This window comes from Homo sapiens, chromosome 5 (assembly GCF_000001405.40).
Source record: "Homo sapiens chromosome 5, GRCh38.p14 Primary Assembly".
Classification (NCBI taxonomy): Eukaryota; Metazoa; Chordata; class Mammalia; order Primates; family Hominidae; genus Homo; species Homo sapiens.
Genome location: NC_000005.10, coordinates 168,363,342 through 168,380,020, shown reverse-complemented (window position 1 = coordinate 168,380,020; position 16,679 = coordinate 168,363,342). Strand labels below are relative to the sequence as shown.

The following is a 16,679-nucleotide window of genomic DNA, read 5'->3' as shown; positions in this document are numbered from 1 at the left end:
ATTTGATGAAACCAAATTTATTAATTTTTCTTTTCTGGTTAGTGCTTTTTATGACTTGTCCAAAAAAATCTTTGCCTATCATAAAATCTTGCAGATTTTCTCCTATGTTTTCTTCTAGATGTTTTATAATTTTAGCTTTTATGTTTAGGTCTATGATCTATTTTGAGTTTAGTTTTACACATGGTGTGAGGCAAAGGTAGAAGTGGTGGCCTATTTTTTTTCCATATGGATACCAGTTGTACCAACAACTGTTGAAAAGATTATCCTTCAAGGGCATTGGGCCTTTTAAAAGTTCTTTACATGGTTCTAAAGAGCTGTGTTGGCTGGATGCAGTGGCTCATGCCTGTAATACCAGCACTTTGGGAGGCCGAGGCAGGTGGATCACTTGAGGTCAGGAGTTCAAGACCAGCCTGACCAACATGGCGAAACCCCATCTCTATTAAAAATACAAAAATTAGCTGGGTGTGGTGGTGTATGCCTGTAATCCCAGCTACTCAGGAGACTGAGGCAGGAGAATCGCTTGAACCCAGGAGGCAGAGGTTGCAGTGAGCCAAGATCGCGCCATTGCACTCCAGCCTGGGTGACAAGAGTGAAACTCCGTCTCAAAAAAATAAAAAAAAGAGTTGTGTTAATGCCGTTAGTTCTGAACTGTCACACCCTGAGGGGGTCCTCCGACAGCCCAGCCCCTTCTGCTGACACTACCCTTCCTCAAGTCCATCTTACCAAAATAGGTAACTTTGTAACTGGCAGGCCCTTTGAGATCATCTTGGCCACTACTACATTTTAGTTCTTGTTTTAATTAAAAGTATACATAGATATAGCTTAATAATTCAGTGCACTATAAAATTTCCTACATAAAACATCTCCCTCATATCCCTCTTTCCAAAAGCAGCTACTTTCCAAACTTGTATCTGCTCTAGTGCAGGCATCATTGAGAACCACTTCTCCACTTTCTTCTGCTCCATGCTCTAAACCTCTCCCTACAAACACACGCCATACACATTCTCCACACAGCACACATGGCAGCACACTCATGAGTTCTCCATACACCCATCCCTTCCTACACTTGCCACACACCTGTTTTCTCCACACTGCATACACACCCACGCCGCTAACAATACTGCATTTTCCAAGGGCCTTAGCAACAACAAAAGCAATTCTCTTAAAAACATCTGGAGAATATTCAACCTTGTTACTATGCAAAGGAGTGCAAATTCAAAACAATGAAGTAAGAGTTTAAACCTATGATATATGTATCAAAAGTCAAAAGAAACGAACATAGCCCCATACTGATGAAGGTCTGAGGAAAACAGTACCCTCATGTCTTGTGGCAATACAAGCTGATATAATCTTTTGGAAATATTCACCAATCTAGCAATATATACTAAAAGCTCCCAAGGTATTTATAACTTTGACTTCAAAATCCTATACTTGGAAATGAATTTTCAGGAAATTATCACAAAGAAAGTAACATACACAAAGAGTCTTCCCTGAGTGCTATTTAAAATAATAAATGAAAATAAACCAAAAGGTTGGCAATAGGAAGCATTATGGTACTTCCATTATGTGTTTTATTTTTCCCTTTTTAAAAAATTTAACTTTTAAATTTTAGATTCAGGGGGTACCTGTGCATGTTTGTTACATGGATGTATTGCATGATGCTGAGGTTTGGGGTATACTGTGCATAGTACCTAATAGGTAGTTTTTCAACCTTTGCCCCCATCTCCCTACCCTCTCTAGTAGCCCCTAGTGCCTATTGCTGCCATCTTTTATGTCGATAAGTACCCATTGTTTAGCTCCCACTCTCAAAAAAATAAAGTGAGAACAAGTGGTATTTGAGTGTTTGTCCTTGTATTAATTTGCTTAGAATAATGGCCTCCAACTGCATCCATGTTGCAGCAAAGGACATGATTTTTTCTTTTTAATGACTGTATAGTATTCCATGGTGTATATGTACCACATCTGCTTTATTCAATCCACTGCTGATGGGCACTAAGGTTGATGCCATGTCTTTGATATTAGGAATAGTACTGTGATGAACATATGAGTGCATGTGTCTTTTTGGTAGAGTGATATCTTTCCTTTTGGATATATACCTAGTAATAGGACTGCTGGGTTGAATGGTAGTTCTAAGTTCTTTGAAAAATCTCCAAACTGCTTTCCACAGTGGCTGAACTAATTTACATTCCCACTGACAGCATATAAGTGTTCTCTTTTCTCCACATCCTCACCAGCATCTGTTGTTTTTTGACTCTTTAATAACAGCCATTCTGACTGGTGTGAGATGGTATCTCGCTGTGGTTTTGATTTGCATTTCTCTGATGATCACGGATGTGGAGCATTTTTTCATATGTTTGTTAGCCTCTTTTATGTCTTCTTTTGAGAAGTGTCTGTTTATTGTTTTGCTCACTTTCTAATGGGGTTATTTGTTTTTTGCTTGTTGAATTTTTTAAGTTCCTTATAGATTCTGGATATTAGACCTTTACTGGATGCATAGTTTACAAATATTTTCTCCCACTCCATAGGTTTTCTGTTTACTCTGTTGATAGCTTCTTTTGCTGTGCAGAAGCTCTTTAGTTTAATTAGGTCCCATTTGTCAATTTTAGTTTTTGTTGCAATTGCTTTTGAGGACTTACTCATAAATTCTTTCTCAAGGCCAATGTACAGAATGGTGTTTTCTAGGTTCTCTTCTAGGCCTCTTATAGTTTGAGGTCTTACATTTAAATCTTTAATCCATTTTGAGTTAACTTTTGTATATGGTAAAAGGTAGGGGTCCAGTTTTATTCTTTTGCATATGGCTCGCCAGCTATCCCAACACCATTTATTGAACAGGAAGTCCTTTCCCCACTGCATATTTTTGTCGACTTAGTTGAAGATCAAATAGCTGTAGGTGTGCGGCTTTATTCTAAATTCTCTATTCTGTTCCATTGATCTACGTGCCTGCTTTTGTACTAGTATCATGCTGTTTTGGATACTGCAGCCTTATAGTATAGTTTGAAGTTGGATAATATGATGCCTCTGGCTTTGTTCTTTTTGCTTAGATTTGCTTTGGCCGTTTGGACTCTTTTCTGGCTCGAAATGAATTTAGAATAGTTTTTTCTAATTCTGTGAAAAATGATGCTGGTAGTTTGATATGAATAGCACTCAATCTGCAGATTGCTTTATGCAGTATGGCCATTTAAACAATATTGATTCTTCCAATCCATGAGCACGGAACGTTTTTCCATTTGTTTGTGTCACCTGTGATTTCTTTCAGCAGTGTTTAGTAGTTCTCCTTGTATATATCTTTCACCTCCTTGGCTAGATGTATTCCTAGGTATTTTTTTTTTGTGTGTGGCTACTGTAAATGGGATTGCGTTCTTGATTTGGTTCTCAGTTTGAACATTATTGGTTTACAGAAATGCTATTGATTTTTTTACATTTATTTTGTATCCTGAAACTTTGCTGAAATCATTTATCAGTTCTAGAAGTCTTTTGGCAGAATCTTTAGGGTTGTCTAGGTATAGAATCAAATCATCAGCGAAGAGAGATACTTTGACTTCTTCTTTTCCTATTTGGGTATCTTCTATTTCTTTCTCTTGCCTTGATTGCTCTGGCTAGGACTTCCTCCATTATGTGTTAAAATGTATTGACACATCCTTTTGATGTATTAAAAATGACAAATATGGGCCAGGCACAGCAGCTCACGCCTGTAATCCCAGCACTTTGGGAGGCCCAGGCAGGAGGATCACCTGCGGTCAGGAGTTTGAAACCAGCCTGGCCAACATGGTGAAACCCCATCTCTACTAAAAATACAAAAATTAGCTAGGCATGATGGCACATGCCTGTAATTCCAGCTATTCAGGAGGCTGAGGCAGGAGAATTGTTTGAACTCGGGAGGCGGAGGTTGCAGTGAGCCAAGATCACATCACTGCACTACAGCCTGGGGACAGAGCAAGACTCTGTCTAGAAGAAAAAAAAAAAAGACAAATATGAAGATTATATAGCATCCCTTAGATATCTATGATATAGTATGAAAAGAAAACAGACATAAAATTTGATCACTGATTAAAACCATCTAATCATGGTATGTGTAGATAATCGGGGATACTGAATACTGACATGAAATAGTAAAAATGGCTTATGTTTTAGAAACAGTTGTCTGTAGGCTGGGCATGGTGGCTCACGTCTGTATTCCCAGCACTTTGGGAGGCCAAGGTGGGCAGATCACCTGAGGTTAGGAGTTTGAGACCAGCCTGGCCAACAAGGTGAAACCCTGTCTCCACTAAAATTACAAAAATGAGCTGGGCGTGGTGGCGGGCACCTGCAATCCCAGCTACTTGGGAGGCTGAGGCAGGAGAATTGCTTGAACCCGGAAGGTGGAGGTTGCAGTGAGACAAGATCTGCCACTGTACTCCAGCCTGGGCGACAGAGCGAGACTTCGTCTAAAAAAAAAGAAGAAAAGAAAAGAAAAAAACAAAAAAAAAGAAAGAGTTGTCTGCATTGCTGCTTCCAATTCCTCCCCTGTTTTCTTTTAGACTCACTCTAGTCAGGCTTTTGCTCCCAGTCCTCGTCCAAAGCTGCCCTCCAAAGTCAGGTCACCCAGGTTGCTAAATCTATTGGTTTATCCTTGGTCCTCTTTGTATTTGCCCTGTCAGAAGCCTTCGACACTGTCGGCAATTCTCTGCTTGATATGTTTCCTTCACGTGGCTTCCAACACACTCGGTTTCCCTCCCTCCTTTCTGATCACTCTTTCTCAGAATCATTGCTGCTTTTCCTCTTCTTGCCACCCTCTGTTGTCTGGAGACCCATGACTTATTCCTTGGTCCTCTTCTCTGTTTCATTCCCAACCAACTTAGTGTCTTTACATACTAGCTATATGCCAGCAACTCTCAAATACTTATCTTCAGCCCAGACCTCTCTCCTAAACTCCAGGTTTATATATCAAACTGTCAAGCCACATGTCCTCTCAGATAGGTAATAGACATGTAAGTCTTGACATGTCCAAATGAACTCCTGCTCTTCCTTCCTAAGTCTACTCCCCCTGCAGTTTTCTCCACTTGGTTGATAGCAACTCCATCCTTCTAGTTGCTCAGCTCCAGAAGTTATTCTTTCCTTTTTCTTTCATACTTTACATGCAATCTATCGGGAAATCCTGCTGTCTCTACCTAGAGAATACCTCCAGCATCTGGCCAATCTTCACCCTGACCATTGCTACAGCCCAGGTCTAGGGCGCCTGGACTGTGGCATTTGTCGCTCACAAGTCTCCTTGCCTCCACCCTTGCCCTAATAAGGTGTATTCTCAGCATGGCAGTCAGACTGGTCCTTTTAAGACATAAGTCAGATCATGTTACTCATCTGTTTAAAACTCTCCAATGGCTCACTCCCATCTCACACAGCGGAAGAGCTAGGCCTCTGGGGCAGACCACTGCCTGACCTCTACTCTGCTGCACTCTGTCCTGATGTCCTTCTCCCCTCTCCTCACTCATTATGTTATATGCACACTTGCCTCTTTGCTATCCCTTGACCGCTAAATGTGATCACACCTTGGAGTTCTTCTTCTATCTATGCTTTCTATTTGAAATGCTCTCTCACCTCCTTCAAGTCTTAGCTCAAATCTCATTGTCTCAACAAGATCTTCTTCCCGGAAGACCACATCATATTTAATGGTACTCTTGGTCACCATTACCACGGCCCTTTCTTCGCCACCCCCAAATACACCTCAGCTCCCGACTTTGCTCCTTTTTTCTGTGTACTGAACATTCTCTAACATACTACATAATCTACTTATTTATTTTTTGTCTCTCCTGCCAAAATGAAATTTCTATAAGAGCAAGGATCTTTGCCATTTTGTACTCCCATGTATCGCAAGCTCCCAGAAGAGTTGGCCAATAAACATTTGCTAAATGAATGAATGCTCGATGGTGAATGTATGAGCGAATTGTTGTTTGATTATATTGTGCTATACCTCTCTCTCTTTTTTTTTTTTTTTTTTTGGTACAGAATCTCGCTCTGTTGCCCAGGCTGGAGTGCAGTGGCGGGATCTCGGCTCACTGCAAGCTCCGCTTCCAGGGTTCATGCCATTCTCCTGCCTCAGCCTCCTGAGCAGCTGGGATTACAGATGCCCGCCACCACGCCCAGCTAATTTTTTGTATTTTTAATAGAGATGGGGTTTCACTCTGTTAGCCAGAATGGTCTCGACCTCCTGACCTCGTGATCCGCCCACCTCGGCCTCCCAAAGTGCTGGGATTACAGGCGTGAGCCACTGCGCCCAGCACACCCCCACCTTTTTTTTTTTTTTTTTTTTTTTTTTTTTTTTTTTAAGAGACAAGGCCTTGCTATGTTGCCCAGACTAGCCTTGAACTCCTGGGTTCAAATGATCTTCCTGCCTCAGCCTCCCAAGTACCTGGGACTATAGACACATGCAAACATGCCCGATATTGTGTCTATAACTCTTAAGAGAATTTCAGTCCATGAACAATGCACACACAGAACTGGTCCAAGTGCATGGCTCTGAATGCCTGGGCCTTGGTGCTCATATTCCTACTATATTGCTATCAATGGCTCCATCTACTGAGGTGGTCCCCCACATCCAACCAGACCACCTCAAACCAAGAGGAAACCAGTAGCCTGACAGCTTGTGAAACTACCAGATAGAATTCTTCCTGCTATGGCCCCATTTAATCACCCCCATACACCCCATTTCTGCCTTCATTCCCTCAAGAATAAACTCTGCCACGGCCTGCTACTACTTTCTTCCATTTTTCCAACAGCTCCCAGAAGCACCTTGAAATCCCACTCCCACCATGAGATTTTAATGAGGGGGATGCACTCAGCAATTAGAAACAGGAAAAGACTGATTAGGTCTCCTGCACATCAGTGTTTAACCCAGCATCCCATGCAGCCCTCCAAGCATTAACCTCATTCCCCATACACACTCAATTAGGCATATTTACTTCTCATTATCCAGTACGCAATCATGAGTGCTAATAAAAACCTTTGCTACCCCCAACAATGCAATTAATGCCATTAGCTGTCTCTCAGAAGCTCTTCTACACTTTGGTGCCAACAACAGTCCACTCATTCACCCATTTATTCATGCATTCATGCACGTATGCCCTTTTCTATTTAGCACAGGTTAAGTTCACACCTACTATGTGCCTTACCAGGCAAAGGCCTGGGACTAGAGAGATGAATTAGACACAGTCTCTGCTCTAGGAGACCTGCAACAACAGGCAAATGATTATAATACAGGGTGATGAAGGGCACAAGACAGGTGTGGCCAGGGTGCTACTGAAACCCAGAAGAGGAAGTAGGTGGAGAAGTACAACTTCATTCTCCAGGGCCAGTTCCAATCCCAGCCCTGCCACATTTTAGCTGTGAGTCTTAAGTAGTCAATTGACTCTAAATCCCATTTATGACATGGGGATGATCATCTGAACATCCCACCAGGAATTGGGAGGATTAAAAGAGATAATGCCTATCAAGTCCTCAGCACAGGACACGGCACAGACTGTGTGCTCAGTAAACAGAGGCTATTAGGATTTGATGCCCTAGTCTCAGCCTTCAGACTTTGCCAGGCACATCCCATTTCATTCTATTTTCTTCTTGCCTGAGAGGATTAAGGGGATGCTACAGTTTAGAAGGCTGAGAGTGAGGCTGAAAAATCCCTTTCCTCTGTACACATGCACAAGTGGGACAGCAAATTTCAGAGAACAGTCTTGGCCAAGAGGGTGCTCAGTGGATGAGGCCCAAACACACATCAACTCTCCCCCGCTGGAGGATTGCTCCCTGGGTTCCTCCACCTGTCAGACAACCTGCTTCTTTCCTCAAGTCATTCCTCCATCACAGTCCCAGAGACAGAGGTACTAGGAATCTTTGTAACGGATTGGGATACTTGGATCACAGATATGAAGTGAGGGTGGGCTGACTGGTATGATGGGCCAGACACACACACACACACACACACACACACACACACACACACAAACACACTCTTTCTCTCTCTCTCTCTCTCTCGCCAATTCACTATGGACATATATGCATACATGCTGTGGGGGGCCTGCTAGGGCTCTGGCTGCTCTAAGATAGTCTGGCAATGACAATGACACATCTTTCTTTTAGGGGGAAGAAAAGGTATGCCCACAAATTTACATATGTAAATATATATGTGCATATATACACATACACACATACAAACACATGATTAGAAAATTTCTGGAATGATACACAAGAAACTGTTCACAGTGGCTGCCCCCATAAAATTGGGGAGATGGATTGTGAGAGGAGTTTTAGATTCTATTAAAAACCCTTCTAAACTGTTATTTTTACACAAGCATACATTATCTATCTATATCTACATCGACATTTCTATCTAAATCTATATAAAACAAAATACAATCTGGCTCCAAGAGTCTGCAAGTGGTTCTTCCAGACTTGGAGGGAGGATGGGCTTGGAGGTGGAGGGATGAAGAGGGCACAGGGAAGGGAGGACCGTCGGGAACTTACTGGTGTTGTGGTCTATGAAGTAATCTCCAACCTGTGGGTCATATGCCTCTTCCCATCCTAGCGGCAACTCATCACTAATGCAGTCAGCAAAGGTGAGCGGTTTGGTGTACCTGGCAAGGGAGAGGAGAAACAGACTCCATCAGCCTACAGTCCCCAAATGCCTGCAACCTGCTGCTTCCCTGTGCCTCCTGCTTTTCTGGGCTGGCTCAACAGATCCAAAAGTTTTACACCACAGCAGCACCAGCTCTGTTGTCCCCTTTGTTCCCGGGAAGGTGAACACATAGCTGCAGCAGCAGGATAAGATCACCCTGTGTGGGAGGCAGGGAATCTGTGTTCTGGTCCCAACTTTGCCACTCCTTCAGAAGTGACTGGAGCAAGTCAACTTCCTTCTTTGGGCCTCTGTTTCTGCAACTCTGATTGAGGGTTTGCAGGCAAAGGGTCTAAGGTCAAGTCTTGCTTCTTGAGTTGGACTCCAGCCCTCCTTGGCTTCTTCACCTGCAACGCACTCAGCCACCCCACCTCTAATCCTTATCCTGGCTCTGTCTCACGCCTGTCATGCTCACTTGCCCTTTGGAAGGCTGGCTTGCCGCAACATCAAGAATAGCAGATGTTCCATCCCTGTGAGTTTGGCCAATGAGCAGTATTTATTTTCCTCTTGAGCTGATTCCCAAATGCTTGCACCCACAATGGCGCTTCCTTAGACAATCCAGGCCAAACTGATCTTTTAGCAATAACCGCTCTCTATGTCCCCATCTTGTGGGGATCAAAGTGGTAGTAATCACCAAGTCTCAATGGCTAAATCAAATAAACAAATCACTCAACTAAACTAACAAAGGCTTGTCAGTGCTAGAAAACTATCACAAACAATTTGTCAAGTATTTAAACCAGAGTATGGGAAGCTGGGAATCTGGGTATATGAGATTCAGCCTGGGTGGCCCCTCCAGACAGTCACTTTGGTTTCTTCCCATCACTGCCTCTGCCTAAAATACATATTCTACAATCTCCTTCTCCTGTCTGCTTCCTACCCAATCCCAATTCTGGAAGCCCAGAAGGCTCTGCTTCAGATTCTTTCTATAGACTGGCAAAGTGAAGTACAACGGGACAGGACGGGAGATGACTGGGCTGGGGTCTAGGATTTCTCATCAAGGGCTTCCTTCCAAGGAAGAGACTTGCTAGATATGTCCCCTCCCAACAGCTCCCCTGCTGCTGCATATGGATCATCACCTTTTAAATTCCTTCTTGGGGATTAATTAAATGATTTTAATCAATGGTGCAACCAAGCTACAGAATCCTGTGTCCAGCACAATTGGCGCTCAATAAGTATTTGTGCAACGGGGCCCAGCGCAGTGATTCATGCCTATAATCCCAGCACTTTGGGAGGCTGAGGTGGGTGGATCACTTGAGGTCAGGAGTTTGAGACCAGCCTGCTCAATGTGGTGAAACTCTCTCTACTAAAAATGCAAAAATTAGCTGGGCATGGTGGCTGGTGCCTGTAATCCCAGCTACTCAGGAGGCTGAGGCAGGAGAATTGCTTGAACCTGGGAAGTGGAGGGTGCACTGAGCCGAGATCACACTACTGCACTCCAGCCTGGGTGACAATGTGAAACTCTGTCTCAAAAAAAAAAAAAAAAAAAAAAATTGCACAATGAGTGAATAATGTAATGAATACATAGGAAAAACCAAAAAAAGAGGCTTACACTCTCCTGCCCTCTAAAACTCACTCCAAATCCAACTTACAGAAAAATACATGAAGAAAGGGATGCTGAAAGAGCCCCAGCTGGATAGGACCTGGTGTGTTCACGTACCACTATATACCCAGGGTCTGGCAGGCTATGAAAAATACCTTTTGGTTGAATGAATACCCAAAAGCTTCTGATAGTAATTTACTGCTGCACTGTGGAAGGCTGCTGGTTCCATGAGGATGAGGCCAGAGGTATGTGATGTGCAATACACTATGTGCTAAATTAGCCGGGTATGGTGGTACACACCTGTAGTCCCAGCTACTTGGGAGGCTGAGGTGGAAGAACTGCTTGAGCCCAGGAGTTGGAGGCTGCAGTTAGCTGTGATGGCACCACTGCATTACAAGCTGGGCAACAGAGCCAGACCCTGACTCTAAAACACCACCACCACCACCAACAACAACAACAAAACAAATAAGGGTTCAGTAAGCATCACTTACTGGCTGTGTGAGTTAGGCAACTTACTTTCCTTCTCTGAGCTTCAGTATTCTTATCTGTATAATGAGGACAGTACTAACTCTCCATTTGTTGGGTGGGTTAAATAAGGCCATGTTTGTGAGTACTTTTAGCACAGGTGCTAGTGTGAATGGGCACTCAAAAATCATTAGTTATCCTTACCTCCATTTACCAGAAGGAGAAACTGAGGCTAAGAAAGACTAAATAACATTCTCAATGTCAAAGACAAAGCTGGGATTTCAAGCAAGATGGCTGGTCTCTAGGGCCCCTGCAGGGAGCTACCAGATTATCTTGAAAGCTGACACCTTCATTGCATCTCCTAAGCCCCACGGGAAAACACAAACTACCATTTTGGAGTAGAAGGAGGGAAAATGGGGTAGACACAGGTGATGGGGACTTCCCTCAGCTCAGGATGCACTTGGTTCAGGAGCATCTGCTCCAAACGACCTGGATGAAGTTTCCCCAAAGCCGTCTCCAGGCCACCCGCCACCACCCTCCATGCCCTGCCAGATGTCAGAAACAAAAGGCCACTTCTCTCAGTGTCTTGCTTAAAGTTTTTTAAGTGGTTTGTTCCCTCTTCCTTATGGAGAATGAAGACCAGCAACCAAGAGCAAAGCCTCATCTAACATCACCTCATCTAACAAAGCCTTGAAAGGGGCTCTGAAGGAAAGCTCCACACGCAGGTATGCCTTCCATGGGGAGTGACTCCATGGCTGATGACAGGTCAATCTGTGGGGAAACAGGCATGGTCAGGCCACCAGAGAGATCATTCTGGCTCATTCCTCCACCTGCACTGTGCCCAGAGAAGTCCCACCTACCAGAAGAGGTATGAATCTTATATAGACAGTTTGCAACCCAGAAAACCAAGAAGATACGTCCCCTTCCCAACAGCTCCCCTGTTTCTGCGTATAGATCATCACTTTTCAAAATTCCTCCTTGGAGATTAATTAAGTGATTTTAATCAGTGGTGCATCCAAGCTACAGAATCCTGTGTCTGGCATAATTGGTGCTCAATAAATATTTGTGCAATGGGTGAATAATGTAATGAATATGTAGGAACAACCAAAAAAGATGAAGTGTTCTGGCCAGGTGTGGTGGCTTACACCTGTAATCCCAGCTACTTGGGAGGCAGAGGCAGGAGAAGCACTTGAACCCGGGAGGTGGAGGTTGCGATGAGCCGAGATCGTGCCGTTGCACTCCAGCCTGGGTAACAAGAACAAAACTCCGTCTCAAAAAAAAAAAAAAAAAGATGAAGTGTTCTTTATTTTGCTAACATGAAAGATGCTCTCAATATACTCTGAGAAAAACAACACTGTTCAAAGATAAAAGCTACAGGATACTGTTACAGTATGACATTTTGCCTGAAGAGAGTGTGTGTGTGTGTGTTAGTAAAGAAACTGGAAAGACACAGATTGAAACGCTATCTGAATATAGGGATTTCAGTGTAATTTTATTTCTTCTCTTTCTTTTTTTTTATTAATTTATTTGTTGTGTTCATATATTAATCATAACTAAAATGTTGAATAAGGGCTAACTCTAGGCCTAGAAAGCAAGCTGTGTATGTGACATTCCCTTTCCAGGTAGCAGGTGCTCTTACTCTGTTTTGCAAATAAGAAAACATGCTCGGCATCACACAGTTAGTAAACACCACAGGTATAACCTGAAGTTCCACTGCCAGATTCCAAAACTCGAGCTCTGCTAATAAAAATTAACAAGACTGGGCCAGGCGCAGTGGCTCATGCCTGTAATCCCAGCACTTTGGGAGGCCGAGGCGGGCGGATCACGAGGTCAGGAGATCGAGACCACGGTGAAACCCCTTCTCTACTAAAAATACAAAAAATTAGCCGGGCGCAGTGGCGGGCGCCTGTAGTCCCAGCTACTCGGGAGGCTGAGGCAGGAGAATGGCGTGAACCCGGGAGGCGGAGCTTGCAGTGAGCCGAGATCCCGCCACTGCACTCCAGCCTGGGGGACAGAGCAAGACTCCGTCTCAAAATAAATAAGTAAATAAATAAAAAATAACAAGACGAAGGGTGAGTCTCAGAACAATCTGGAACACAGAGCAAGCTGTGCTAGAGATACAGAAGGTGAAATGAGACAAGAGGGACATCTGAAGCAGGCAAAAGGCATGGGGGCTTTAGCATATTTGGGACCTTCAGTTATCTATGTGTTGGTGCAAGGATATTCAATAGACCTGGGAAATCCATGGCTGCTTAATAAAGAGGCAATTAAGTGTTTCAAAGTCGGCTGGGTGCAGTGGCTCACACCTGTAATCTCAGCATTTGGGAGGCTGAGGCGGGTGGATCACCCGAGGTCAGGAGTTCAAGACCAGCCTGGCAAACATGGTGAAACTCCATCTCTATTAAAAATACAAAAATTAGCTGGGCATGGTGGCAGGCACTTGTAATCCCAGCTACTCGGGAGGCTGAGCCAGGAGAATCGCTTGAACCTGGGAGGCGGAGGCTGCAGTGAGCTGAGATCACACCACTGCACTCCAGAGCAAGATTCCATCTCAAAAAAAAAAAAAAAAAAAAAAAAAGTGTTTCAAAGTCATTAATACAAATGATTTACTGAGCTTGCTGGGTGTGAGGATGGAGATGGGGTTAGGAGGACGGGACTGAAACCCCGAAAATGTGTCACTATCTGGAAAACCATTAACTCCACTGATTGTTCCAGCCTTACACGTTGAGATGTCAGAGCCAAATACATTTATTCGCTCCAAGCATCAGTAATGTGACAGACATGTGGATACCCTACCAGGACACAATGCTGATTCCACTTGCAGTGAACACAGACACTGTGCCCAAGAGAAATAAAGCAGAGGGAGGCAAGAGGACCCAAAGCTAGAAGGAGAGGGCAAAGGAGAGAGAAACACTTTGGGTTTGATATTCTCATTCCCCTTTGATGCGATCACAGGGGAAATGCCAGAGGGCTGACTGACTGATATCCTGACTCCCAGAGCTCTTCCATGGGAAACAAGGAAGTGCCTATGGAAGGCTATGCAACTTACAAGAAATCTGGACAGCAAGATTCTCTCCGGAACAAATGCCAAGAGGGAGATGAATTATTCAGTGTGTAGAGATGTGTCATTCAGGATGAAGAGATGTGTTTTTGGCTGCACAAAGATTTAAACAGACACACTCACACATACATACATGCACACACTCACTCTTCCTGGCAGTTAAGGAGAGGAATTGTCCATTTAAACCAGCCACCCCCCGTCCCCCAGGAACTGTGGGTGCTCCACTGGCCTGAAATGTTTCACCTTGGGCAAGTGCTAAGGATGCAACCTGGGAAGAAATGTCCACTTTCAGATGTGGCCAGGACTTGGGGGCCTGCCTGGAACTCCCAGCCCCCACCCTCGGGTGAAGCAATTCACCACCATCCAGCCTGGTTCAGTCGGTCCCTGCTTCCAGCCTCCACAACTCGGGCTGCCGAAAACCCCAATTGTGAAATCAAATGACCCAGATGCTGGAGGGGCAAGAAGGGAGGGTGCCAGACAAGAACGAGTTCTGCCTCTTCTTAATTACAAATCTCTAAAGGAGCACAAACATTCCTGAATGTTTCTCAACAGGCCCTCCTGGAAAAACGGCCAGATGTGTCGCTGTGGAGACAGGTAGGTTCTGCCAGGAGCACCCTACAAACAGCACACAGGCACACCTGTCGGGGAGAGCCACCCCGGGGGCTGGAAGCCTCCCTTACCCTCCTCTCAGGGGCAACCACCAGTGGGTAACTGGTAGTTACTTTCCTACGGGCTGTGAGGACATGAGACCACGGTGGGCATTCGGCATTCTGACAATGTGCCTTTTCTAAGGAGGCAGCTCAGAGGAGGAGAGGAAAGCCTTCTGCCAAGTTTAATACTGGGTGGTGATTCTCTCGGGACTGAAGAATGCATACCCTATCTTTCATGTTCCTAGTGTTTCCCAAGCAAGTCCCAGCTTCCCACAGTAACCTCTTTATTACCGTCCAGCAGGATGCTGGCCTGCTCTCTCTGAGGGCTGGCTGGGCGGGATCACTTTCTAAAGGGCCCTCCAGACTCCAAGCCAAGAACTGTCCAAACTTTCAGCCGAACCTCTCCTCCCCAGCCCAGGCACAATGGCCAGGCTGGTTCTTCCCGCCCTGGGCTGTTTCACACGCATAGTTCCCATAGCTAAGGTTGCACAATTCCTGATAATGCTCCTTCACCTGGGGCTGCTGCAGAACACCATTTCTAAGCAGTCCCTTCACCTTTAGCTCCGGGGAGGCCAGAATGAACAGGAAGAAAGGCAACGTTTGAAGTCCTTCTTCCTTTAATTCAGTTTGGTTCAGACTCTTTTACTCATTGTCTAACAAATCTGGGCATGATAAAAATAACCATCTCTCAAGTTTGTTAGGAGAGCTGAGCACATGACACACAGCAGAGCCTTCGTTAACACCAGCTACAGAGGAAAGAGACAGATAGGGCCCTGCCCTTACAGTCTAGAGGGCGAGATGCACCCCAGCCAGAAGCAAATCAAGAGGGCCATTTCAGAGAGATCCATGCTATTCAGGTGAAGTGGAGGCGGAGGTCAGCTTTGGCGGCTCTGGGGCCTGGGTATGCACTTTGGATTATTCCTCTGACCACTGCCCTTGTGTTGAGCTGGAGGGTGACCCAGAGACACTCTCTGCCTCACCCTCCACTCTCATCCTTCCACCCTCATTTCAATCAATCCACCAAGCAACAAGCATTTATCAAGTGAGTATGGCACTCCAGGCCCATGCTAGGCACTACGAGGGCTCAGACGCTTGAAGAAGCCATGTTTCTGCTTCCAGGGGCAGAGGGTCTGGCCGGGGAACAAGACTCACACTCCAAACAGGCAGGGAGTCATCCCCACAACATTCCATGGGAGTGTATGTGGCTGTAACGCTACCCGCGGCCTGAGCCACAGGTAATTAGAGGATGCAGGGATATTTAATAAGGTGCTACGTCAGCAGTATAGACGCGAAAGGCCAACGGGCCATGGGCAGGGAGAGAATGCAGCAATGGGGTGTAGTCAGGGAGGGCTGGGGAGGGGAGGAGGAAAGAGCTGTGGTCAGCTCCATGGTTAAGGAGGAGGCAGGGTAGATGTTACCCACAAAGGCTCAGGAATGGGATGCGAGGCTGAAACCCAGGCTCCACCTCTTCCAGAACTGTAGGTGGGTTATGTAACCTGCTTGAGAGGAGTTTTCTTCTCTGTGAAACTTACACAGGAAGGCCCACTCTCATAAGGGTGTTGTGGGGATTAAATGAGATAACCTATACAGTATCTAGTGCCGGGACTGGCACAAGACAAGCCCTTGATAAATGTGGGTTGCAAACATAATCAGAGAGTTCTGCGCGTTGTGAAGAATCACATCACCCTTTATCTCAAATCCTTAACACGTGAGCTATCATCACCACCATCACCACACCCACCATTATCAGTCTTCACCCTAAGAGATACACGGTGGTGGTTAAAACTCACAAGTCTGGAGTCAGCCATCTGGGTCCCAATGCAGGCACTGTCACTCATTAGCTCTGTCCCCTTGGGCATGAACTCTAACCTGTGTGGCTTTGTTTCCTCATCCATAAGATGGGGGTGCTCAAAGTCACCGCTGCGTTAAAATGGGCTGTGCTGACCACATGGCATTCAGGGTTCAATCTACATTGGCTGTTAGGATGAGTTAGGTTTTATACCCCGATTTTCATGATGGGGAAACTGAAGCAAAATAATTGTCCTGGCTTGCACAGCTAATAAACCTTGCACTGTATTCTATCACCTCCCTTCCTGGAGGAGCTGGGACTGCTTAAACCATCTTTTTTTTTTTTTTTTTTTTTTTGAGACAGAGTCTGGCTCTGTCACCCAGGCTGGAGTACAGTGGCGTGATCTAAGCTCACTGCAATCTCTACCTCCCAGGGTTCAAGTGATTTTCCTGCCTCAGCCTCCTGAGTAGCTGGGACTACAGGTGCCCGCCACCATGCCGGGCTAATTTTTGTACTTTTAGTAGAGGCGGGATTTCCCC

At 45.0% G+C, this 16,679-nt stretch overlaps 1 protein-coding gene across 18 annotated transcripts in view, besides 1 other annotated feature; it reads right to left on the bottom strand.

Moving 5' to 3' along the window:
• The window catches only part of WWC1 (WW and C2 domain containing 1), a 180,659-nt gene that overhangs the window by 92,283 nt on the left and 71,697 nt on the right, over window positions 1-16,679 (bottom strand). For 16 of the 18 annotated variants that reach the window (XM_011534485.2, XM_011534486.2, XM_011534488.2 and 13 more), the window contains exon 2: window positions 8,488-8,597. The exons of 1 other annotated variant lie outside the window; for it this stretch is intronic. In XM_011534485.2, the coding sequence (XP_011532787.1) occupies window positions 8,488-8,597 (110 nt within the window). Of the gene's footprint in view, window positions 1-8,487; window positions 8,598-16,679 lie in introns of those variants that run through there. One more of the 18 variants, XM_047417020.1, reaches the window with a different exon arrangement.
• Window positions 14,369-14,902: an enhancer, noted in NCBI's record as "H3K27ac-H3K4me1 hESC enhancer chr5:167792124-167792657 (GRCh37/hg19 assembly coordinates)". NCBI's record gives its function as "activates a minimal SCP1, AML or CMV promoter by ChIP-STARR-seq in primed H9 embryonic stem cells {active_cell/tissue: H9 hESC(primed)}" and the evidence as "EXISTENCE:reporter gene assay evidence [ECO:0000049][PMID:30033119]".